The 26274-nt window shown below is 43.9% G+C and overlaps 1 protein-coding gene across 51 annotated transcripts in view, besides 1 other annotated feature; it reads right to left on the reverse strand.

Moving 5' to 3' along the window:
- Positions 1-26274, reverse strand: part of APBB2 (amyloid beta precursor protein binding family B member 2) — a 404516-nt gene that overhangs the window by 113799 nt on the left and 264443 nt on the right. For 19 of the 51 annotated variants that reach the window (XM_047450175.1, XM_047450164.1, XM_047450173.1 and 16 more), the window contains 4 exons: positions 21040-21248; positions 11252-11314; positions 10789-10874; positions 10631-10691 (listed from right to left, as the gene is read on the reverse strand). In XM_047450175.1, the coding sequence (XP_047306131.1) occupies positions 10631-10691; positions 10789-10874; positions 11252-11314; positions 21040-21248 (419 nt within the window). The remainder of the gene's footprint in view (positions 1-10630; positions 10692-10788; positions 10875-11251; positions 11315-21039; positions 21249-26274) is intronic. The other 32 variants (XM_047450181.1, XM_047450169.1, XM_047450180.1 and 29 more) reach the window with 3 other exon arrangements.
- Positions 7-301: a silencer, noted in NCBI's record as "tiled region #7650; K562 Repressive non-DNase unmatched - State 20:ReprD". NCBI's record gives its function as "represses a minimal TATA promoter and a strong SV40 promoter by Sharpr-MPRA in K562 cells {active_cell/tissue: K562}" and the evidence as "EXISTENCE:reporter gene assay evidence [ECO:0000049][PMID:27701403]".

The raw sequence follows: 26274 nt of genomic DNA on the forward strand, positions 1-26274 counted from the left end.
ACCGCTCATTCAGGCAAGTGTAGTGACCAGAAGTTAATAAGGGAAATAACACCGTGCTTCTGCCAGGAACACGGCATTATGCTTGGCCGAGTTGGCAAATAAAGGGAGGAAAACAGTTTTAGAAACACAAAAGCTGTCCTCCGGGATAGGAGGCAAAATGAGCAGCCAAGGCCAATGGCAGTGAGTGTCTGCACCACTCAACGGAAAAGCAGGATGGACAAGGGTCAGGGAGCCTGGCTTCGGGTCCTGCTCTGCCACGACCAGCTGTGCAAGCTTGGGCAGGTTACTTTCTCTGCGCCTTCTGCTTTTCCTAAGGCTGGAATGAGATGATCCTTATTTTCCCCTTGTGAATGCCAACCTAAAAGCCATGCATGAGAGGCTGAATCTCATTCAGCCAGGACTTGATATATCCATCACTGGCTCTGGACCTTGGTTTCGTGATTCAACCATGTTGCTATTTTCTGCCCTGTACTGAAGGCACTAATTTTGAATGACTGAAATGTGGGAATGACATGTTTGGCAGATTGTACCTCCCAAAGATGGCTGCATTAAAACCTCCCGTCCTATGCGCTCCTTGTAACGTGAACTTGCCACGTCTCATCAAGAAGTGGAGTCTGACAACTCTGAACAACAGAATACGGTGGAAGTGACATGCTGCCATTGCCAAGAAGAGCCTTTCCTCACCTGGTGGCTTCACCTTCCTGCTTCTTAGAAGCTGGACACCAGGTAAAAAGTACAACTGCCTACCCAGAGACCACACCATGAGAAGACCAAGCCACATGGAGAGGCCCTGGAGGACGTGAGGAGGAGCACTGAGCCAGGAAGCAGGTTGGAGAAGAAGCCATCTTTGAAGAGGATCCTCCAGCTCCGGCCGCCCCCATGTGGATCAGGCAGGAACTGCACCGCCAAACCCTCCCCAGACTCTGGAACCCACTAAATCCTGAGCAAAATAAATAATTGTTTTAAGCTACGAAGTTTTGGTGCAGTTTGCTACATAGCACGCAGGAACAGATAACAGAAACAATGTTATCCACAGTATTGGGCAAATACAGATGGACCTCATCTTAACAGATCTGTTCCTAAAAGCATTTGCTGAAAATGAACACAAATTTACATATCAAATCATTTTCAAAGCTTCCACACTTACATTTTTTGAAAAGTATGGTGGCGGGGGGAGAGGGAATCACTAACTCCAGTGACAATTCAAATATACTTATTAGCTAAGGTATCGTCTCCTTCTGGGAAACCACCCGAGCCACCCCTTTCAACCAGCCATGGAATATGCCCCCGGAACAACCCCCATTCGTGACTCAGTAGCTCAGCTCCTGGTACAGTGCATTGAATTTGCTTGTTTCTTCTCCATTACTTGAAGGCAGGGGCCATATCCATTCCTTCTGGTAGTAGGAACAGTATAATGGCGAATGCATAAAGAATGCTTATTATGTGCTAAGGACTGTTCCAAGACCTTTACATGTATATTTATAGTGTTTATAGTATGTCAATTCAATGTTTATAACAGCCATGTGAGGTTGGCTCCATCATTACCCTCATTTTGCAGATGAAGAAACTGAGGCACAGAGGGGGTAGGTAACTTGCCCAAGGTCATCCAGCTGGTAAGCAGCAGAGCCTGGCTTTAAACCCGGGCAGTCTGGGTCCAGAGTCCATGCTCTTAACCACACCATACATTAAGTATGTATGCTCCTTTCGCACTTAGCATTCAATAAACGTCTCTGACTCAATGAATGAATCAACAGTGCAAATCAAACCCAAACTTCCACACAGATCAGGATTTCTGAAAGAAACCTGTACCACGTGAATAAAAATCAATTATAAGAACTACATGCAGCTGTAACATCCCATATAAATGCTAAGTAATGACAATGAATTTGCTACACAGACCAGAAATAAATCTGAATGAGAAAAGGTACTTCCCTACTACTTCCTGCTTATCTATTAGTGCTAATCTAGTCAGTAGCTGCTAATATAATTACTTCATGAAAATCTATGCTAATAGGAACCAAGGGAGGGCACAGATAAATAAAGCTCACAGATGAATATTGGAATCTCATGTCCATTCGCCATTCAGTTCAGAAAGCTCCGTCAAACCTACTACCCGATGGTTTGTTTCATCTCCTTCCTCTTCCTCTCCATCTGAGGTAAGTTATAACAAAAGAGTAAGGAGGCACACAAAGCTTTCACAAAATCCAGTGCCAATAAAAAAAGTTCCTGAGCAGCTGCGAACTGGTTGCAAATGGCCATAAAAGAACTAGAAGATACTGCATAGAAAGACTATGTCTACTTCGCTGCAGAAGCTGCACAAAATTGGTGCCTTCTTTTTATCATGTTTCCAACTGTATAATGTTATTACTCTGTGTTGTTTGTAGACTGGCAGTATTGGTATCACCTGCAAACTTAACAGAAATGCAATTTCATGTCCCACCCCAGAGCAAATGAATCAGAATTTGCCCACAGGTACAGTAACGTGTGAAAAGCACCGCAAAGGATTGGACCACAAGTCTGGATGAGGGTGAGAAGGAGTCTGTCCTCAAGCACTGACCTTCCAATTCCTTCACCCATTCCCACCTCCAACAACTCTGCTACTCCAATCCCAAATTGCCAAAATGATTTTTTTTTTTTTGAGATGGAGTCTTGCTCTGTTGCCCAGGCTGGCATGCGGTGGCGCGATCTTGGTTCACTGCAACCTCTGCCTCCGCCTGCCAGGGTCAAGCAATTCTCCTGCCTCAGCCTCCCAAGCAGCTGGGATGACAGGCATGTGCCACCACGCCCAGCTAATTTTTGTGTCTTTAGTAGGTACAAGAGTTCCGTCATGTTGGCCAGGCTAGTCTCGAAATCTTGACCTCAGGTGATCCGCCACGCCTGGCCCCAAAATGATCTTAAAGCTGAGAGAAGCGATAACTGGGAACAGGTGGGCGTGACACTTTCCTGGCCTTTGGAATCAAATGCATCTGTGTTTGAGTCCCTGTTCCATTAGTTACTAGCTGTGTGATAAATTGACGTCTTCTAAGCATCGGTTTCTTATCTACAATATGGAAACATAACTATAATGCCTTGTTTTTGCAGGAAAATTGCACGTAAGTGCCTGGCAGAGGGGAGGGCACACACACAGTGAGTGTTCAGGAAAGAAGAGCCAGCCCTGGTTCATGGCGCTCTCTCTTTCCTTCTCCAGACTTAAATACAGATCAGACTATTTCATCTCCAGATGCCACAGATCAGGGCTACTACATTTCATTTGAAATCTGAAATTTTCTCAGAACCTGAAATGACTTCTAATTTGATGACACATTCATTTGAAAGATGAGGACGCTGAAACCCAGAAAATTTAATCTCTGGGGCAGCACAATCTTCCTTACCCGTTTCCTTAATTATGTGTTTCAAAGAACAAGGTTCTAAAAACAGTACCAAAAACCTCTCCTGACAAATATATTGAAAATGACGTGTTATACACTGAGACAGAGACAGCAGGATGGAGCGGTCAGAGGCCCAGAAGACCCATCTTCAAATGCCATCTCCACCAAGAACTAGTTGTTATCACAAATAACTCTATGACTCATTTTTCTCACCTCTAAAATAAAGGCCCATTAGATGGGCTCTAATGTTACTTCCAAGCAAAAGAAATTCTGATTCCAGATGAAATGTTGCCCCTCTTTTTTTTAGAGACAGGGTCTCACTCTGTCACCCAGGCTGAAGTGCAGTGGCCGATCATGGCTCACTGTAGCCTCGACCTCCTTGGGCTCGAGTGATCTTCCCACCTCAGCCTCCCGAGTAGCTGGGACTACAGACGCATGCCACCACGTTAGGCTAATATTTGCATTTTTTGTAGAGACAGGGTTTCACCATGTTGCCCAGGCTGGTCTCGAACTCCTGGGCTCAAGAGATCTGCCTGCCTGAGCCTCCCTAGGTGCTGGGATTACTTAAAGCATGAGCCACCGCGCCCAGCCCCTCTTCTTTAAAGATGTAATTTTCAATATTGTCCACCAGGTGGCAGAACATCTCCTTTACAGAAGTCTGAGCGGAGTTACACAAAGGACAGAAAAGAACTCTGACAAAACGGTATATATATTTCAAAGCATTAAGTTTTCTACAATTTGATTGTAACTGGTTTTTATTTGAATGTTAATCAAGAATTTGGTCAGCCATGTGCCACGGGAAAAGGGCTAAATTCCAAATCTAAGATATTAAAGTAACATGAGCACAGCGGGTGATGGGGATTGAGAAGTGCAAGCTACCTGGCCGCCTAAAACGTGCCAAGGAGTTGTCTTCTTAACAAATGCGGCCTGAAGGGCAATCATCTACAAAAGCCTTGGATATAGAAAGTTTTAAAACATTTTCCATGGAAAAGTGGCGTAAAATAGAAAAAGAACTGACTGAAGAAAATGTCTAAGATTACAGAAGCAGATAGTTCTGAAGTTAAGGGGACTGGGCGCAGTGGCTCATGCCTGTAATCCCAGCACTTTGGGAGGCCGAGGCAGTGGGATCGCCTGAGGTCAGGAGTTCAAGACCAGCATGACCAACATGATGAAACAACATCTCTACTAAAGAAAACACACACACACACACACACACACACACACACACACACACAATCAGCCAGGTGTGTTGACACATGCCTGTAATCCCAGCTACTTGGGAGGCTGAGGCAGGAGAATCGATTGAACCAGGAGGCAGAGGTTGCAGTGAGCTGAGATTGCACCACTGCACTCCAGCCTGGGCAAGAAGAGCGACACTCTGTCTCAAATAAATAATTTTAAAAAAAATGTGGCCAGGTGCAGTGGCTCATGCCTGTAATCCCAGCACTTTGAGAGGCCAAGGCGGATAGATCACTTGAGATCAGAATTCGAGGTCAGCCTGGCCAACATGGTGAAACCCTGTCTCTACTAAAAATAAAAAAATTAGCTGGGTGTGGTGGTGTACACCTCTAATCCCAGCTACTCGGCAGGCAGGGGCAGGAGAGTCACTTGAACCCAGAAGGCGGCGGTTGCAGTGAGCCGAGATCGCACCACTGCACTCCAGCCTGGATGACAGAGTGAGCTCCCGTCTCAAAATGAACGAATGAATGAATGAATGAACGAACGAATGAATACATGCATAGAGACTAAAATGCAATATGGCATCCTAGATTAGATCCTGGAACAGAGAAGGGCATTAGAAGAAAAACTGGTAAAATCAGAATACAGTGTTTATTAAAAATCAGAATACAGTGTTTATTAATAATTTTCTATTGATGTTAATTTCTTTGTTTGTACTGTGATTCTGTAGGATACAACATGACGGCGATCTGGAGAAGGGGCTATGAGAACTCTGTACTATCTTTGTAACTTTGCTGTAAATCTAAAATTATTTCTGAATAAAAATTTACTTTTAAAGTGCATAGAAAAATAAGAGGAAAAAACAGCCAGGAATGGAAAGAAAGAGAGTTTCAGAGGAAATGTCCTGTGTCTATGATAATTTAATAAGGGGAAATTATTTATTTATTTATTTTTGAGACAGAGTCCTTGCTCTGTCGCCCAGGCTGATGCGATCTCAGCCCACTGCAAGCTCTGTCTCCTGGGTTCATGCCATTCTCCTGCCTCAGCCTCCCAAGTAGCTGGCACTACAGGCACCCACCACCATGCCCAGCTAATTGTTTGTATTTTTAGTAGAGATGGGGTTTCACCATGTTAGCCAGGATGGTCTCGATCTCCTGACCTCGTGATCCACCCGCCGTGGCCTCCCAGAGTGCTGGGATTACAGGCCGTGAGCCACCGCACTGGGCCAATAAGGGGAAATTTTAAAACTAGGGGGTAGTAGCTCACACACAATAAACTAAGATGAATAAATACAAATGACAAAGCCTAGAGTGAACTGATACGTGGACAAAGAGGAGTACTCTAGGATATTACTGATGGGATTATATGCTGCTGCAGGCTTTCTGGAAAGTAATTTTGCAATAAGTGACAGAAGCAATAAAACCGATAGCCTTTGCCCCAGTAATACCAGTTTTAGCAACCTATACCAAAGCAATAATTTAAAAGAAAAAGAAGTCACCTATTTTTATGAAGTTGTAGCTCTGCTCTGTAGTGGGGGAAAAACTCCTCCTATGGATACTGGTGCCTAGACAGATTACGGTGCTATTAATTAAATGAAATATTACCATGGAATTAGGAGTGACCAGGCCGAGGACTACACAGAGGAGCATGTGAAATAATTTTTCAAGAGCTCACTACATGCAACACAGTCTCCTAGGCTGGGTCCTGGAACAGATTAAGGTTATTAGTGGAAAAAATGAGAAAATGTGAATAAAGTTTATAGCAAATAATATGATATCAATATTAATGTCTTAGTTTTGACCGATGTACCATGATTATGAAGAAGTTAATATTAGGGAAAGTTAGGTGAAGGGGTCTAGGAGAACTCAATATTTGCAACTTTTCTACAAATCTGTAATTATTTCAAAATAAAAAGTTAAACAGGAGACTCAGAATTATATACAAACACACATATATGGCTATCAAGTACAAAGACTTTACTGCATAAAAATTTTGGTAGGTTCAAAAAACATTTTCAGAGTTAGAAAAAGACTTTGCTCTTTGGGGAAGTGTGTGTGTGTGTGTGTGTGTGTGTGTGCGCGCGCGCGCGCGCGCGTGCGCGTGCGCGTATGCGTGTGTATGTGTGTGGTGATTTTGTGTTGCCATTGCTATTTAGAGGTTTCACTGAACAACTGATTAAGGTGCCCAGATTCAGAGTAGTAGCTGAAGAGGATTTGGAAGTGTCCCCATCCTGACAGTCTAAAAATAATTTTTATTTTTTTCAGCATGTAAGTTTTAAGTAGGGAGTAAGGAAGATATTTTCTATAATAACTTTTAAGTAATCATTCCTCACAGACTATATTTAGAATTCCATAGTATATCAAATATTATTTTTATTTATTTATTTATTTTTTGAGACGGAGTCTCGCTCTGTCGCCCAGGCTGGAGTGCAGTGGCACAATCTCGGCTCACTGCAAGCTCCGCCTCCAGGGTTGACACCATTCTCCTGCCTCAGCCTCCTGAGTACCTGGGACTACAGGCGCCCACCACCATGCCCAGCTAATTTTCTGTATTTTTAGTAGAGACGGGGTTTCACTGTGTTAGCCCAGATGGTCTCGATCTCTTGACCTCTTGATCTGCCTGCCTTACCCTCCCAAACTGCTGGGATTACAGGCATGAGCCACTGTGCCCAGCCCAAATATTATTTTTAAAGTCAGGATTTTTCGGGGGAGGGGACCACTTGGTTCCTTGGTTCTTGGTGGACTGCAAGAATGTAAAGGGTCATGTAAGGTGAGTAACTTATTCTACAAAGGCACTGGAACATCCAGAAAGCCTAGGTCTTGCCACTCCTCCCTCTGAGGTGCTGGCTCTGGCCCCCAGGCAACACAAAACAGGCAGGAATGACTCCGATAGGGGATGGAAGCTCCTCCAATGTGTCTTCACTGAAGTCAGCTCTGAACTCATGGACTTCTCATGGACAGCAGTGCCTCGATTATGGCTCACTGCGGCCTTTACCTCCCAGGCTCCTCCCACCTCGGTCTCCCAGGTAGCTGGGACCACAGGCATGGGACACCACACCCAGCTATTTTTTTATTTTTTTGTAGCGACAAGGTCTTGCTATGTTGCTAGGCTGGTCTCAAACTCCTGGGCTCTCGAAGTGCTGAGATTACAGGCACAAGCCACTGTACCAGCTTGCAAAAGTCCTTTCAAGATTCTGATGAGCCCTTCTAGGCATTCATTCCATTCATGCTAAAAATCCTCAGGTTAAATAATCACCAGGAGGCACACACAGAAAACCCCACCTGCAGGTCCATGTTAGCAGCTGTGCAAATCTTGAGATCTGAAAAGCTGTAGGTTTTTCATTCTCCCTAGGCTGATCTTTCCTTACTCTCTATATTATTCCAGCCCAGACTGATGCACTGATTATTCTCTTATATTTTCTGTGCCCTTTTTTTTTTTTTAAAGTGTTTGTTCTTAGAAGTCTCCTCACATCTTCTATGGAACAAAGTAAGACACAGATGAATAATACAATGCATGTATTTTTTGTTGTTGTTTAAAACTAAGCACAGCTTTAGGAACGTAAGACAAAGCTGAGCTTCCTTACTAACGTGAACAGACTCATAACAGGCATTGAAATAGACATGCTGGCAATAAAAAGGTGGCAGATAAAGAATTCAGTAAGCAACACAGCCGGAAGGGAAAAAGAGAAAGCCCAACCCACTGACTTGGATTTAATGGAACCAGTCCTCCTATTCCTATTACAATTCCATCTCCATTCCATGCTTTCCCTCTTGTCAATTTCACACCCTGGCTCCACATACATCACTGCCCCAGCCCTTAGTGGTGGACAGAGATATTCACTGCTCCTCTTCCAGCCTTTGCTGATAGAATTTGTAAAACATCAAGTAGCAAAGCAAATTGTTCACAACCTGCGTTCCTTACCATAAAATTTATCTTTAAAGACCAGCAATGTTAGAAGCAGCCCAAGGACTTGTTCAGAATGCCACTGGCTCTAGAGTGGCCATGATATTACTGGCTGTGCTCAGAACAAAGCTGACTTGACCAGAAGCAGCACAGATTTCACTGCAAGCCCTAAGATACTTACAGAACCAACTGGCAATATGGCAGTTTCTGGCAAAGGAGTCAAGGTTTTGAACCTGTATGGTGTTCCCCTCTTAAGTGCTACTAAGAAAACCTATTTGCGATGTTACTTGTAGACACAGATCTGCTTTGGGATTCAGAACAAATAAAAAAGAATCTGGGAAGATTCTTTCTCTCTCCATGGCACAGGAGGGTGAAGGGGAGGGGAGGGGAAGGTGCTGAAGTAGACAAGGTGGAATTCCATGGTTGTTAGCACCGAAGATCAGATGCATAACTTGTAAATGAAAAATGCAAAACGAAAATGCAAGCCCCCGCCCCGTTCAAAAAGCAGGGGGAAGACGCTACAAACAATAATAAAACATAAAAGTTTTTCCTTTCTTCCGTATGCTTTCTCTTGGCTTGTTAAGATGTTTTGTTTTGTTTTGTTTCGAGATGGAGTCTCGCTCTGTCACCCAGGCTGGAGTGCAGTGGCGCGATCTCAGCTCACTGCAACCTCTGCCTCCTGGGTTCAAGTGATTCTCCTGCCTCAGCCTGCTGAGTAGCTGGGATTACAGGCATGTGCCAACAAGCCTGGCTAATTTTTGTATTTTTAGTAGAGACGGGGTTTCACCATGTTGGCCAGTCTGGGCTTGAACTCCTGACCTCAGGTGATCCGCCGCCCTCGGCCTCCAAAAGTGCTGGGATTACAGGCGTAAGGCACCACATCTGGCCGTTAATGTGTTTTTTAATTGCTATTTAATGTTACAATCCCTCAGGCATGGGGATACTTGTAAGTGCAAACCCTTACAAACACTCAGGGCCCTGTCCATATCTTGGTACCTGCACACAGACCATTGGCTTCTGGGTACCCTCTCCCATCAGCTGCTGGACAGATGCACCATGCACTGATCAGGGGCGGGTAAATCAAGCCAGGAACCCTCTCTTCCCATGGCCCCACAATCTCAACCCACAGCAGATGGGTGGCCCATAAATGTATTGCAACATCAGTGTTGGGACATGCTAGGTGCCTGGACTGCGGGTAGGCAAGAGGCTCACCCCCACTGAGTCGCCTGTGGAACACACAGCAGTGTTGCCAGCCCAGACTGGGCTGGTCACCACCACGCTCCAATCCCAAGATACCCAGGGAGTGTGCACTTGACCCCAACCCTCCCGTGCTCACACCCATGTCTCTTCCGCGGTAGAGGGCAGTAGAAGTCTCTACGTAGGGAGGGAGATAGGGAGGTCTGGCAGGGCCTGAGATGCCGGGGGGCCAGAAGGTGAGAACCGCACAGGGACGCTGGGAGGTGGCAGGACTGTGTGCAATCCAAAGCCCAGCCCTCTCATGGACATTCCATTGGACTTGACTTATAAGATACAAATTCAAAGATTAAGAATTTCCTGACAGCAACCTTGAAGCATTCATCCCCACACACAGGGGCCTTCTCATTGTGGGGCCTGTGCAGCTGCACTGGCCACATGCCCAGAAAGCTGGCTCTGTTAGCAACCTACCAGAAGTCCAGAAACAAAATGGACACAAGTTTGCCCCAACTGCCCCCAGTTTTCCATCATAAAACCTAATTATCCAATCTGTGTTTATGACAGGAATGGCAAAGAGATTTCACCTTGCACAGATATGAGGCTGCTCTGGTGGCGGTAGGTGGGAGGGGTCTCACACCCTACCTGTTTAGCTTCCTCTCCCATTGCTTTGCAAGGCAGAGCCTGGTGTATCTTTAAAGACTTCTAAAGCCCACCCATTTGAACAATAATGGTAATTTATTACATTGTGCAAAGAGCTGACGTAGTGAGATACAGGCAGAGTCTTGATGGTTCTAGAAATCCCCCCAAACCTAACTTAGCCTAGGGGTTTTCTTCAAGTGTCAGGGAGATTAGGAAAGAGAAAATTGAGGGATAATTACTTATTAAATGGCTCTGGGTTGATGGTTTGTAAAAACTGGACAATGATCCAAAGTCATTATTTGGATCTAAGAATATAACCTGGTGGCTGAAAGCAAGTCTTTACAAACCTTGGCTTCTGGGTCACTGTTGATACTACAAGAATCATCATCATCAGGGTGTGGGGCATTTCTAGGCAGAAAAACAGAAAAGTGGACTTAGAATTCTATTGCAAACTATCTGCACAAAGCCATACATTGACAGCAGGTCGATCCTACTAATGTCCTACCTGAGTTTCAAAGATGCATAGCGTAGGGTTGCTCCTTCAAACTCTTTTAAACTGGGGTCCGGGTTAACAGTGGCTGCATGCAAATCCTAGAGGAAAATAGAACCTTGTTAATGTACAATGGGGGAGAAGACCATTCATTGCCTCAAATATCAAAGGGGAGAAACGTCTTCCCAGCAAGAGGCAGAGAGTGTACGTGAGCTTAGGCAGAGAAAGGCATGCAAGGACTGTTGAATGCTGACTGGTGCAAACTCCTGTTCTTACAAAACAACGGGGAACCTAGGGCATTCACAATGGGAGACACCAAAAAAAGGCAACAGGAGTGTGAGCTGAATGCCCCTAGCAAGAAGCCCGATCACTGTGTCCCTGCAGAATGCATGATATTCACAAAGAAGAAAAATATACAGCCACAGCCATGCAGAAAGGATAAAATATTAAATGATCTAAGATCTGACAATATACTTGCCTTCCAAATGTCACTATTAATCTTTCCCCCATTCAGAACAGCAAAATCACTCCATGGCTGTTTCTAGACATATAATTATTCACATAGGAAAAAAGCACATTGATTTAAAGAAAAAGAAAAGAAAAGAAAAAAAAAAAACACAAGACACTGTTGTTAGCATTGATATTCACAAGATGGGTTAGGGAACAAGTTAACTCTAACAGCAACTTGTTGGCTCACTCCCTCTATGTCTAGATTATCACCTGAAGACGAGGGCAGGAGAGTGATGGTGCTTTAATTACTTACCAAATAAATGACTAAACATTATTAGAAGCAGACAGTGAAGTTATTTCCTTAAGGTAATTTTAAAAGCAAACAATATAATTCCAAGTATTCAATAACTAGCATACCTAATTCCATAATAATCATTTTCCTCCCTATAAACCAAACAGAACTGTTTTCTGGTGGTGGGGGTGGAATGAGGGACGGGTACCGTGTTTGTTTGGAAACTAGGGAATGCCCATGGCTGAGGGCCCCAAAAGTTGGGGGTCAAGATATTTTCACTTAAAAGAAAAAAAGGAGAATGATGGGGAGAGAGGGTTAGTGAAGAACACAGACTGACATCAACACTTGGCGGAAATTTAACCTAACAAAAAACAACTCTAAACAGTCTAACATAAATTTCTCTAATTCATAAAAGCTCTACTTTTTTTTTTTTGCTTCAAAAGCTTCTTCACAAATTAATACTTGATCATGAAATGATTTTCTAAACGTAATTATAGTGCAAGGCATGAAGCCTGGCTTTGTTGCGAGAGCTCTTGCAATAACTGATTTCCAAATCTAAACAACTGCTCCATCCACCTCAGACAATGAGAAAATGTCTTTTCTTTCTACTAGGCCTAGTGAATATTCAAGTATTTTTCATCTAAGATTTGGGGAAATAAGCAAGCAAGGCTAATAAAACTCAGGGACAGTCTTGTGAATTGCTTTACTGACTGGTTAGGCAAATCTGTTTGTATAAGAAATCAACCATCAAAACTTTTCAGCTAAATCACTTTTCAACTGAAGTTCTTTGAAAATGAGAAGTGAATAATGACCCATAACTTTTACTCACAACATTGATACAGTTTTAAAAACCACTAAAAGCAGAAAAAAACTAAGCTTAAATGTCTTGTGCGTCGAAAGATGCATTTATTTTGTTTAAAAATTTTTTTGAGACAGGGTCTCACTCTGTCACCCAGGCTGGAGTGCAGTGGCCCAATCACAGCTCACTGTAGCCTTGACCTCCTGGCTCAAGCAATCCTCCTGCCTTGGCCTCCTGAGTAGCTGGGACTATTCAGGTGCATGCTACTACACCTGGCTAATTTTTTAAAACTTTTTTGTTGAGATGGGGGTTCCATTATGCTACCCAGGCTGGTCTTGAACTCCTGAGCTCAAGTGATCCTCCCACTTAGGCCTTCCAAAGTGCTGGGATTACAGGCGTAAGCCATGGCGCCTGGTGCAACATGCACTTACCAAACTCTGCAAGCCTCTCTGAGAGCAAAGACACTTCAAATTTAGACCCATTATTACTATTGCACATGTGGTGTCATTTTCATTTTTGGTCTAGGCACCTAAACTGCAGCTTTTCAAAATAAAATGGGAACTTAGACCACTATATTTACTTTTAAAAAATAATTTCTCTTAATGAATAAAGGGCAGGAATGTTGCCCAATCCCTTACCTTTCCCCTCACTCTACCCCCAGAAGCAGTGTTCAGTCTTTATGAAGAGAAAATTAATAACCTAGGGCAATCTTAACCTGTTAGCTCGGAGGAGCTATGAACCCCTGAAATGGGTGCGGGGTTTTGTACATGTACATTTTCCTGAGAGAAAGATGCCCAATTTTTCTCATATTTCCAGATGGGCCAGTGACCAATTTCGGTTTGGACCACTGTAGGGCTACTAATATGGATGTGAGATGAGGACCTGAAATATCAAGTACAAAATAAAATTTTAAGCTAGAATTTCTTTTTCAAAAAGAAAACAAGCTTATATGGCCTCAAATTGTCATCACTGTTTACATGTGAGCAATATTTGTTGTTAAGTTGAACTTTAAAAAAGGATAATCAGATGATGAATTAGGAAGACCCAAGATAATTGTGTCTTTGTGGAGAAATTTATAAAGAAACAAGAAAAACAAAGTTACCTCACAAAAAGAATTTCAGAAATTATCCCCAAGGGACCCTATATGTTGAGGCTACAGAAAGTAAAAGAAGAGTATTTTCTAAAACAAGTACTCAGAAAAGTCTTCAGTACCTAATTAAAACAGTTCTCTGCGTGTGTGTGGTTTTTAAAATTTTTAATGCATTTACTCTTTGGACATAAGGGTATCTGTAAAGCAAAAGCTAAAAACAGTATTAAGACTGTCAGAATCCAGCTCTCATGTTATGGAAACATGAGTTAGATGGCAAATGTCCAACAATCACCTTTTACAGATTTAAATAAACAAAGGCTCTGTATAGTGATTTTACAAAAACTTAACACGGGCACTCTTAAGGAAATCCTTTAGCACAAAACTCAGTAAGGAAATGGAAACTGGCATTATATGTGTTATGACTGGGCCAAAGATCTTTTTTCCCCTCCTATATTTACAACTATTCATTTACATCAAATATGACAAACTTTCTCCAATGTATAAGTGACCATAATTTTTCTTTTTTAAAAAATTAAAGTCAATGAAAGACAAAGTCACTTTGTCTTAAATTTTAAGAATTACATGGTCTATTCATCTAACTTTTTTAATTAAGAAGAGAGAATATTTTCTATATTTGGCTAATAAGTTTTGCTAATAATTTTTAGTTAACAAATTTTTAAAAAAGCACAACCCAACAGAGATTCTTTGGTTCTACAGAAAGTCTGTATCCACCCCCGTAGGGGTGGGAGAGATGAAGGAGGAAGAGGAGAGACAAAGAGAAAAACATTAAAAGGGGAAAAAGCAAGTTGGACAATATGCCTCAGGTAAGACAAACACAAAGATGGGGAAAGAGGTGGTAACGGACCAACAGGGACCATCTTCTATGAGCAACAAGCTTCCATGAGCCTGGTAACCCTCCAGGCAATGCAGCTAAAGCCTTGCACAGCTGAGTGACATTCTGGTACCACAGTCATAGCTGGGACACCCTCCTGGTGCTTGTCCTGACCTTGTCCAGGCTGCAACCTCCCTTTCTCTGATTACTTGATCCTGCTCAGTTCTGGGAGAGCCTTGGAGCCTTAGCTCCTCAGAGACAGTGTGTCTAGGGGGACTGACCCAATGCCCGGGGTATGGCACTCCTCAAAACCCTTGAGCACCACACGGAAGCTGTGTGAGGCTGGACCCAGTAAGGAGGGAATCCGATCATATAACCTTGACTACTGAGAGTTTTCTTCTTCCATGTTTCTCTTCTGGGGTCTTGGAAAGCAATTCCACATAGCAAACAAAAATGACGCATTATCTTTCAGCTGGAAAAAGGCCAACAATGGAGTTGATTCTTTGACAATATCAACAGAGTGCTCTTAAAGACTAAGTCTCAGGGGCTGGGTATGTCCCTACCAGGGGACTTTCTCTACAATGCTAAGAAAATCTCTACGAAGTGGTAGCAAAATGCAAAGCAGGGGGCAAGAGTGGAGGGTTGAACCTGCTGAGAACTGGGTAGAGAGGAAAAGCACTAAAACATTCCACAGTGGCAGTGACAGAAGCTAAAATCATATCATCTCTGTGTGCACTTGAGAAGTTCTGAAGCTAATACAATGCAATGGTTTGAATGTCTGTCCACTACAAAACTCGCATCGAAATTTAAACACCAATGTTGCAGTATTCAGAGGTGGGGCCTTTAAGAGGCGCTGCCCTCATGAGTGGATTAATTCACCCATGGATTCATGGGTTATCATGAGAGTGGGACTGGTGGCTTTATCAGAAGAGGAAGAGAGACCTGAGCTGGCATGCTCAGCTCTCTCACCATGTCATGCCCTGCACCCACTCAGGGCTCTGCAGAGAGTCCCCACCAGGAAGAAGGCCCTCATCAGATGCAGTCTCTCGGCCTTGGACTTTTCAGCCTCTATAACCATAAGAAATACATTCCTTATCTTTATAAATTACCCAGTTTCAGGTATTCTGTTATAAGCATCAGAAAATGAATAAAGACACATTGCCTGCTGGAATGCTGGGGTTCAAATTCTGCCTCTGTTCTTACTTGCTCTTTGACCTCAACTCCCTCCCATATCAAACAGGACTAAGAAGGCCTCCCATCAATGTGCAGACAAAGTGAGATTCAGAATGTTAGCTCTTAGCACAGGGACTGGCTGCCCGAGGGTGCCCTGCAAATGAGTTTCCTTACGATCTAGTCTTTCCACGAAAGAAAAAGCAGTTTGGGGAATACAAAGGGTTACGAATCATGTCTCTCAATGCCATTTTGTCAAGGCTTGACCCTTGATTAAGTGTGGCCTTGATAGTAAATGGCAGAAAACCTGGAATTCCAAGGACTACGGCAGGCAATGTCAGTGAGTGTTTTATCAATTTATATGTGTACAGTTTTTCTTTCTTTTTAAGACAGGGCCTTGCTCTGTCACCAAGGCTGGAGTGCAGTGGCATGATCTCACTGCAACCTCCACCTCCTGAGCTCAACTGATCCTCTCACCTCAGCCTCTCAAGTTGCTGGGACTACAGGGCATGCATCACCATGCCAGCTAAATTTTGTATTTTTAGTAGAGAAAGTCCTGGGCTCAAGCCATCTGCCCACCCTATCAGAAGATTACAGCATTATGGTTTAATCACACAAACATAATTCAGAGAAGTTAAAAAAAAATCAAACTAGTAAACTGGTTTGTGCAATTAAATCAGTCTCTGTGAGCAGCAGTGCAATGCAGAAACTACAATGTAGAGGGGGCCAGGAGAATGAGGGCTCTAGGGCTGGCTTTGTCATTGCAACAGATCAACTAACAGCTTCCTTGGCTATGCAGCTGATTTATTTTTTCATTCAGCAAATAGTTAATGAATGTCGTCATGTACTGGGCCCTGTGCACAGGATGAGGAGAACAGGTCCCGGCCACCAAGGAGCTTCCTAGTGGGAAAGTGACATACCACAGGTAACAACACTACAATGGGACATGATAGAATACAGGGCTTTCAAAGCAATGGGGTAAGAGCAGTAGCTCTGGGGAGACAATGGGGTGAGGCCAAATAATTTTTGAGGAAGGGACATGCAAATAAAAATAGGGAGGCTATAGTCATTAGAGGACCTGCTGTCCTACTTACTCAGCGTAAATCACTTGGAGAGCTTATGCAAAGGTTCCCAGGCCCCATCCCATTCTGTGATCCCCAGAGGTTCTCCTGGCACCATTCCTCGGCTCACTGGCTGAGAAATACGGCCTGCACATTCAACAGGCCCTGCTCCAAGATTCCTTCCAGCACTCAATGTCATGATTACTTGACTGAGTGAAGAAGTTCAGAAAAATGACGGCAGAACGGCCCTTTTATGTTGTCATCTTATTTCTACATGTATATGAGAATACACAGGCTTAAGGTATTCCACTGGGCACCCTCCTGGGGGGGTTAGGCTCTCATGACGCCCGTGAGGCTGTGAGCACTTCATAAGAACAGGCTGATTTAGGACCAAGAGGAAACCACAGTTTGAGCAACAATTCATTTTCTCGAGCTTCAGACCCGCCTTCTCCATACTTTCTTCTGTAGGAAGACCAAAACACCTTCATTTGAAAAGATGGGAAGACTTGGCCACAAGCCAATGGATATTCATAAAAATATTTTGTGTGGCTCTCCGTTCTCTCTAAAATTCAATATCCAAGCAGTCTGCAAGGTAATTTGGAACAAATAAATGGTTTGGGCGGGGAGGAGCACCACGTGCTAAATTTCAGCAGCAAATGCTTCCTGGCCAGTTTATAAACTTTCAAAAATACTGCTGGCATATGCAGCGGAAACATTATCCACTGCGCTTAACACCTCCCAAGTGAACTTTGGAATGTGAAATGTAAAATTTTCAAACTGTAAGGAAGCCTTCAGTTCTAAACTTTTGTGAAGCCTAGTCAACAGATTTAGCACTTAGTTATTTGATTCTTTTTTTTTTTTTGAAGCCAGCTCAGAAAAAAGCTGAATAAAATATGCATTTCTAACACAACATATTACAAGCTTCTTCTGTCCCTTAAGATTTTGCTCTCTTCTCATGCTTTGAAATTGGTTGAAATAGATTCTATTTAGGAACCAAAGAAATGGTGTTAGAAAAATAATCATTTCTCTTCAACTGTCATTAGCACCTGAGACAATGATATTAAGAAAGGTCATTTTCTAGAAGGCTCCATATGTGACATAGCCTCCCTTAGGGTGAGTTAAAGGGATTCAAGAGTCTCCAAGCCTCCCAGACATATGATATTGTGAAGTTCGGGGTGGAAATAGGGGCCAGGAGACCTGAACTCAAGCTTGACTCTACCATGTATTAGCTGTGTGTCTTGCCCAAACTCCTCAACCTCTCTGTCTCTCAGTGTCAAATGTAAAATGAGAAAGACAACTATAGTACCAGATACATAAGGATTTTGGTGTGTTTTTTGTTTGTTTGTTTGTTTTAAGAGACAGGGTTTTACCCTGTTATCCAGGCTGGAGTGCTATGGTGTGATCATAGCTCACCTGCAGCCTCAAATTTCTGGGTTCAAGTGATCTTCCTGCCTCAGCCTCCTAAGTAGCTTGGGCTACAGGCACATACCACCACACCTGGCTAATTTAAAATCTTTTTTTTTTTGTAGAGATGGGGTCTTGCTATGTTGTCCAGGCTGCTCCTCAACTCCTGGTCTCAAGTGATTCTCCTGCCTAGGCCTCCCAAAGAGCTGGGATTACAGGCGTGAGCTGCAGCACCTGACCACATAAGGGTTTTATGGGGAGTAAAGAGTTAAGGCATTAGGCTGGACTGTAAATATTTGATTTCTCTTAGTGCCTCTGGTTTAATATTGGTGACAGGGTCTGCACATCAGCGTATGTGGCAGGCTAAGTCTTTTCCCCAGTTCTCCTATTCCTCTTCTATCTGCTCAACTCTTTGCCTCTATGACTTATTTATTTCCTTTTAAATCTGCTTGGTTCTTTGACTTAACGGAGGACCTTATGTAGGGGGAGAAACACGTGTATTATGGGAACAACTGAAAGGTCAGCCTGAAGACTTTTGCCCTGTTGCTTTCTGAGAGTGCTGGATATGAGTCCCTGTCTCTGAAACTTCTAAAAATATGCACCTTTAACCAGCTTCCACGGAGGGATAAGCCTTTGTCAATACAAATGGTACAGTGAGCAGCAGAAGAGAGGAATGGAACTGATAGAAGGTGGAGATTCTCAGAGTCCTCGGGCTCTAGAGTCCTGGGGTCTGGAGTCAGGGAACTGGATACATCCCACCCTAACCCCAGCTGAGGGACACTTAACTCATTGAGTCTCAGTTACCTCTTTCCTTAAATGGAGAACATACCAGCTGACTTTTCTGCCTCAGGAGACTCCTGAGAAGATCAGATGAAATGATGTCTAGGAAAATACCCTGAAAACCACAACAGATTTTTAAGAGCAGTGAGGAGGCCGAGCAGCGGGGCTGTTGGGGGGGAACACTGAACTCCAGGGCAGGAGGTGCCAAGGGTGTGCCCTTCTGAGCCTGGGAGGGGCCCTGGGCAGTAGTTAGCAAGGGGTACGATGCAGGCACAGAGAGGGGAAAGAGTAGGCAAAAATGGGCTCCAGGAAGGGGAGAGATGCACTCTGCTACCTGGCAGTTTTCCCCAGAGCCAGCACCCACCTGTGCTGCATTCTTCCCAAGACTTCTGCCCAAATCACGGAAACAAAAGGCTAACGTGTTAATCAAAGAAATACAACTCTGAGCTCCGTAAGCCTCAGGATGCCCTCCTTGGAGTCCACACACCCCCGCCTGGGCCTCTGCAGGCAGCCTTTACAAAGGACTTCACCACTGCCAGATGCAGAGGACTGGAGATTCATGGCACAAAAACTGTCTCTCAAAGTCAGTCCAATCTCCCCAATCTGGGACAGTGAGGAAGCAGAGCAGGTTGAAATCTCAAAGCCAGGGGAGCTAAGTGAGAAGACCTCTGACCTAGGATCTGGGAGGATTCAGGAACTCTGAGCTCTAGGCCCAGAGCTGCCACCGGTCACTGGCCTCTCTACAACCTCAGTGTCCCTGTCTGTAACATATGAATGCTGGCACCAAATGGTGCCTTCACACCCTGGTGTTCTCTGGCTATAGGGCACTCTCTGGCTGGGAAGATGGCTAAAGGTTTGGAATAGGGAAATGAAAATGGTTATAGGCTTGGAATAGAGGAATGGAGAAAGATTCTTGCCAACTGAGATGCCAAGAGAAAAGGTGTACAAATAAGAAAGGGAGAGCACGTCTGTGCCTTAGTGAGAACAGAGATTGATCCTGGCCGGCTCAGCTTCTAGGAGGCCCCCACTGTGGTACAGGGGGAATCCCAGGATCCAACTGGGTGGGGACAGGAAGAGGACTCCTCTCCATACCAAACTCCTTGAGGGCTGAGACGGTGTTGGTTCATCTTTATCCCCCAGCACACCTAATGCAAGATGAACAAAAGGCTGAACAAAAATTGCCCAGGGAGTAGGAATTATTATGCTTCAATAAAAAGTTGTTAAAACTGCCCAGTGATAAGCAACAAAGCCCTATATGGGGTTCAGCAGTCCTGAAGCATGTGCCTGATGACCACGGCATGGCACAGGTAAACCAAAGTCCTTGCCTACCAATGAGGGTATGGCTGCCCCAGCCCATCACTTTCAAGTTGGAGAATCTGAGGTCCAGGCTGGGTAAATGAGAGGCCAAAGCCCTCTAACAGCAGGAATGTGATGAGAATATAAGGCTTACCACCTCCCAGAGAAGAACAAGTACATAATCAAAGATTTAGGAAATAAGACATTGTCTACTTTTAAAAACAGGAAGGGTGATATCTATTGCAAACAGATAAAGAAGCTTCCACAGTAGTTCTAATGCCCTCATGCCTCAAGGCAAAAGAAGATGGGCTTGTTCAAAGAACCAAGGACTGTGGTCAGAAAGGGGCAGAAATGCCTGGGTGTCAGGGGTCAAAAGAAGTCATTACTTAATTGTGACCTTCTCCAACTCTAATTCTCTTGAACAGTTTGCTTTCGGGATTCACAAAAGTTCACTGTGGGGATCCTTATACTAATAAACACCACAATGACATTTTTTTAATGCCTCAATTCTTTGTTTAAACATCCAGATTTCTTCCTCAGGGACAGCAGAAATTTATGCTGTTAATCGTTTCTAAAATAATGTCACTTCTACTAAATAAACAGATTTTTTAAAATAGAAATTAAGCATCTGAGGGCTCTCAGGGTTATTCTTGCAGACATTCCCTCCACGCTATCAAACGAGCCCAAGGCTAATAAGATACGCAGTAATTATAATACGTCTGGCCAAGAGATGTTCTTCTGTGTGTAAATATTTTATGGAGCCAGCACCATGCAATGGTACCTGCAGAGTAAAGTACTGCCTCAGTGAGCCCTAGGGAATCTTAACCACTTCTCATTAATCAGCCCCTCTTGCTTTCTGTACCTGGAATGCTGTTTCAAGAGACCAAAAGCCATTAAAAAATAAAAACATCCCTGAAAGATGGATATTAACACTATTTACTAAGAGGAAGCATTACTGAGATTTCAAATGCAACATGCACAATAATCAAAAAGCTTACCTTGATGACCTGTTGGGGCAGAAGCAACCAGTGTAAAGAGAAACCACAAGTTACATCTATTCTACTAAGCTGGTAAAAAGACACTCCGTTTTACCTCGTTCTCTGGGGTGGGAGATGGCGTTACAGAACTAAGTGACCCTTTCCTAGAACCCTGGAGATCTGCTGGGATGGAGACGGGCCGTTCCCACTGAGTCGTTCCTGTTGGGATGTGCCAATAATAGGTCCCGGCAATGTCACTGACTCTTTTCCAGCCAGGCGGCAAATCTGGATCAGTCTGAAATGAGTGATCACTCCATATATCTGCTGAAAAATTGGGGGGCGGGGCGGGGGGAGAAAGAGAGAATTTTATTAAAAGAATGTCAGCACTATTCGTCAGGTGAACCCCAAAGGCAGACGTGTCCATAGTCCAAATGATTAGTTCTTCCTGGTATGTTTGTGAAATCCATCCATACTGATGTGTGTGGCTGTACTTGGTAAAACAGGTAATATGGAAACAAGTATAAGAATTGGAAAGGAAGGCTAACACCTGAGAACAGGGACACAAAATCCTCACTATCAAGTCATCCTATAGCTCTAAGAACCCTATGAACAAGCTAAAGCTCCAAACCAGAATCAATTTCCCAAACAAAATTCACATAGTTATACACAGTGTACTGAATGCTTTTGTCAATTATTAAGATTTATTGGTTGGCATCATGTCATTCCCAGCTATAACTCTTAATTTTCCTAAAATGCTTTCTGTAAATGAGTGCTGTATTTATATCTTTCATGTGCTTTAAGAATCTCTCTCATTTGATTGGGACACCTACAAAATAGCAATAGTAGTAGTCTTTTATAATACTCTAGAATTCTTTTTTTTCAAGATGGAGTCTTGCTCTGTCACCCAGGCTGGAGTGCAGTGGTGCGATCCCGGCTCACTGCAAGCTCCACCTCCCGGGTTCACACCATTCTCCTGCCTCAGCCTCCCAAGTAGCTGGGACTACAGGCGCTTGCCACCACGCCAGGCTTTTTGTATTTTTAATAGAGACGAGGTTTCACCATGTTAGCCAGGATGGTCTCCATCTCCTGACCTCGTGATCCGCCAACCTTGGCCTCCCAAAGTGCTGGGACTACAGGCGTGAGCCACTGTGCCTGGCCAATACTCTAGAATTCTAATTGCACGCAAAAGATTCCCAAGGAAGGCCGGGCGTGGTGGTTCACACCTATAATCCCAGCAATTCGGGAGGCCGAGGTGGGTGGATCACCTGAGGTCAGGAGTTTGAGACCAGCCTGACCAATGTGGTGAAAGCCTGTCTCTACTAAAAATGCAAAATTAGCTGGGCATGGTGGCGCACACCTGCAGTCCCAGTTACTCGGGAGGTGGAGGCAGGAGAAACGCTTCAACCCAGGAGGCGGAGGTTGCAGTGAGCTGAGATCACACCGTTGCGCTCCAGCCTGGGCGACAGAGTGAGACTCTATCTCCAAAAAAAAAAAAAAAAAAAAAACATTCCCAAGGAAAGCAGATTGGAAAAGCCTCGGAAGTCAACAATGGACCAGACTGACTCTACAGACAGGCCAGTGATGTAAACATGTGAAGCAGAGTGTGAGAGACAACAAAGGTGGGTGACTGGAAAATGGGCAAGCACCTGCAAAGTCCAGTCATCCCAATTCCAGAAAATAATCCTTTAAACACTGCGATGGCCAAATAAAATACGTCTACTAGACAATTCCCATCATATCTGGCCTTTCTACATATCTTATCAGTTTACTGAATATCTGCTGGCTTTTAAAAATCTCATTTTTGGCCTTGAGTTGACTAGGAAATGGGTAACAGTGCTAGAGAAGAGAGAACAGAGGGGAGAGGAAGTAGAATGAGACATCCACCGAGATGGAGGGGTAATAAGGGAATCACAGGCAGCTGAATCAATGTATGTAGGAAGAAAAACTTTAAAAACTTGAGCTCTAAACCCAGGGATCAATTTTATTCTAAGGATTAGGCTGTTTCCTATGTGGCCATACAAAAGCAACCGGAGTGCTTTCCGGCAATTCAAAGGAGAACACGAGTGGGCCTGGCTCTGTGCAAGTGTCGCTGCATCACGTGCGCAGGCATCACGGGAGCAGAGCCACCGTGAGAAATAGAGAAATCAAACAAAGGGGCTGATGAAGACTGTGGCCACGGATGTGCATGCATGCAGTCACTTTCCTCATTTAAATCTGCCAGAAGCAAAAGTGCCACTAGTCTCAAATTATGCTGGGAATTTCCCCCTGTCCCCACAGGGAGTGAAGCATAATTAAATAATTTCAAGTTAACCAAATTTTGCAGAAACAACTCTAATCAAACATGTGTTTACATTTCTTTGTCCTGTCTCCTTTTCAGGGGACGAAGGGGTCACTTCTGCTATTATTTTGTTTTCGGCATCTCAACTGGGACACATAAGGTTAGATACATAGGTTTTGGGATAAAGTTGGAGAAAACCCTAGCAAGTGGGTTCCCTCGTCCCATTCTAGTGGCTCACAGACAGCGAGCTCTGGAACTAGACACTGAAAAGATACAAAGAAGCTGCCAGTTACCATTTCTGTGGTTTATGAGGACTGGAGGCCTGAATTTACACATTTAGCCTAGTTGTCTTTACCACTGAGACATTAGCGTGTATGAAGAATAGCTACATACATTATCAAAATATGACACCATGTCAGACCAACGGCAGAGGCCAAGGTTGGTGGCTTTCAAGTTGGGCTGATAAGGAGGTACCTAGAGGTATCATGAGAGGAACTTTATGCTGAATGGCACGAATCAGACTGTTTATCTTCAATTAAACCCACCCTAGTTTTACTAAGCTTACGCTGAGATTTTGTTGAAATAAAAAGAGGAGGTTTATTCTGTTGCTAGAAATAGGTGGTAACAATGGTGCTGGTGACAGATGCAAAGTGGGCACACCTACGGTATTATTAATAGGTCTACAATCATTTATAGAATCCCTTCATATTATCTCACATTGGTTTAAGGGATTTAAGCCTTGTGAGGGTAGGCAGATACCATAACTGTCTTATTCACCATCATATTCGACATCCAGCATGGCAGGTATTCAATCAAAATTGGATGGATGGAGAGATGGGAGGGAGGGAGAGAGGGAGGGAAAGAAAGAATAAATAAAGAAGGAAGAAATGAGCAAATCAATTAGGTCTTTCAATGATGGGAACTGGAACTTGGCACTTAGCAAAAGAGAAATTCTAAAGAAATCAGTTCTATGCGATTTCACAGAACAGAGCAACTTCATGACTCCCAAGACTTACTAACATTTATCTATCCCTTGATGGCATATGTGAACGTCCTCATGGATAAAAAAAAATATAATACAATAAATTAGGAAGAGTACTGGGCTGGAGACCAAGAAATCTTGAGTGAGATTTTGTTTATTTTTCATACTGAGAAGTTCCACAAGGAAAGGCAGGAAGTATGCCGAGTGAAGACTCTCAGCACCATCATAATTCATTTTGTTTAACCTTCATAGCCCAATCTGCTTTGTTCTTCTACATAGAACTACACATTTAGGCTGGACGCAGTGGTTCATGCCTGTAATCCCAGCACTCTAGGAAGCTGAGGCAGACAGACTGCTTGAGTCCAGGAGTTCGAGACACAGCGAGGCCCCGTGTCTACCAAAAATAGAAAAAATTAGCCGGGCTTGTTGGCACGTGCCTGTAGTGACAGCTACTCAAGAGGCTGAGGACGGCTAGGGGCAGTGGCTCATGCCTGTAATCTCAGCACTTTGGGAGGCCGAGGCGGGCAGATCACTTGAGGTCAGGAGTTCAAGACCACACTGGTCAGCATGGTGAAATCCTGTCTCTACTGAAATACAAAAATTAGCCAGGTGTTGTGGTGGACACCTGTAATCCCAGCTACTCGGAAGGCTGAGGAAGGAGAATCACTTGAACCCAGGAGGCGGAGGTTGCAGTGAGCTGAGATTGTGCCATTGTACTCCAATCTGGGTGACAGAGTGAGACTCCCATCTTAAAAAAAAAAAAAAAAAAAAAAAGAGCCTAATGTGGGAGAATCTCCTGAACCCAAGAAGTGGAGGCTGCATGGAGCCATAATCATGCCACTGCATTTCAGCCTGGGTGACAGAAGTGAGATCCTGTCTCCAAAAAAAAAAAAAAAAAAAAAAAAAATTACACATTTAAATAAGTACTTTGGACTTTATTAATTTTATCAGTCAGTGGTTTTCAACTGTTATCAAACTGGGGAAGAAGGCCAGGCACGGTGGCTCATGCCTATAATCCCATCACTTTGGAAGGCCGAGGCAGGTAGATCACTCAAGGTCAGGAGTTTGAGACCAGCATGGCCAATATGGTGAAATCCCATCTTTACAAAAATTAGTCGGGCATGGTGGCAAACACCTGTGATCCCAGCTACTCGGGAGGCTGAGGCACAGAATTGCTTGAACCCGGGAGGTGGAGGTTGCAGTAAGCTGAGATCGTGCCATTGCACTCCAGTCTGGGCAACAGAGTGAGACTGTCTCAAAAAAGGCGGGGGGAGGGGAAGAAGATAGTGGTGCAGGTAGGTGGAAGTCCAGACCTTTCCTGATCTTTTCAACCACAGCAGCACCCATTTTGTCCGTCATTACACATTGGTCTTTATGTATGATTTTCCTTGAAAACAAGCGTCAGTTTTTCTTTAAAATGTTTACTTACAATAAAGTTTAAAACCATAGCTAAGCCAAGAGAACAGTGGGGTCAAGTTATCGAAATACCAAGCAGCTGCTTCTGTAAAAGATTTTCAGAATACTGCAAAGCCGCTTAATGGCCGCCCTCCGATGGTTATCACGGTATCACAGTGGACCAACGAGACGAGAGGGAGCACAAGCAGAACAAAACAAAACAGGAGTATTCGACAACACCAGGCGATTTGAGGAGAAAGTTTCAATCTCTTTTGTTCTCAGAAAATTACTTAGTGAAGCTTTGCTGGAGACAAGGCAAGCGGCTGAAAACTGGAAAGGAAACAGTGGCTGCCAGCTTCACTGCCCTTCTGACTCTCAGCAATTTGCTTAAACTGAGCGTCTGCCACGCACCCCCTTTTGACGGATCTGCTTAGAGCTTTGAAATCACAATGTGGTATTCTTAGTTTGCTGTGGGAATACCTAAAAAACCTCCGCCCTGGAGAATGTTTTTCTATTTGGGTGTGTCATGTGCAACAGTCCTCTTAGGGGGTGAGATTCGGCACTGGACAGCCTAAAACGCACCGTGGGAACCCAACTCAGAGCGACTCGCCTGGAGGACTGGAATTCGGACCAACTGCGGGGGCTACTGAAGGCAAGGTTTACAGAAACTGCAGAAATCTAATAAAAAGCCTGCA

The sequence above is a fragment of the Homo sapiens genome, chromosome 4, assembly GCF_000001405.40.
Source record: "Homo sapiens chromosome 4, GRCh38.p14 Primary Assembly".
Lineage (NCBI taxonomy): Eukaryota > Metazoa > Chordata > Mammalia > Primates > Hominidae > Homo > Homo sapiens.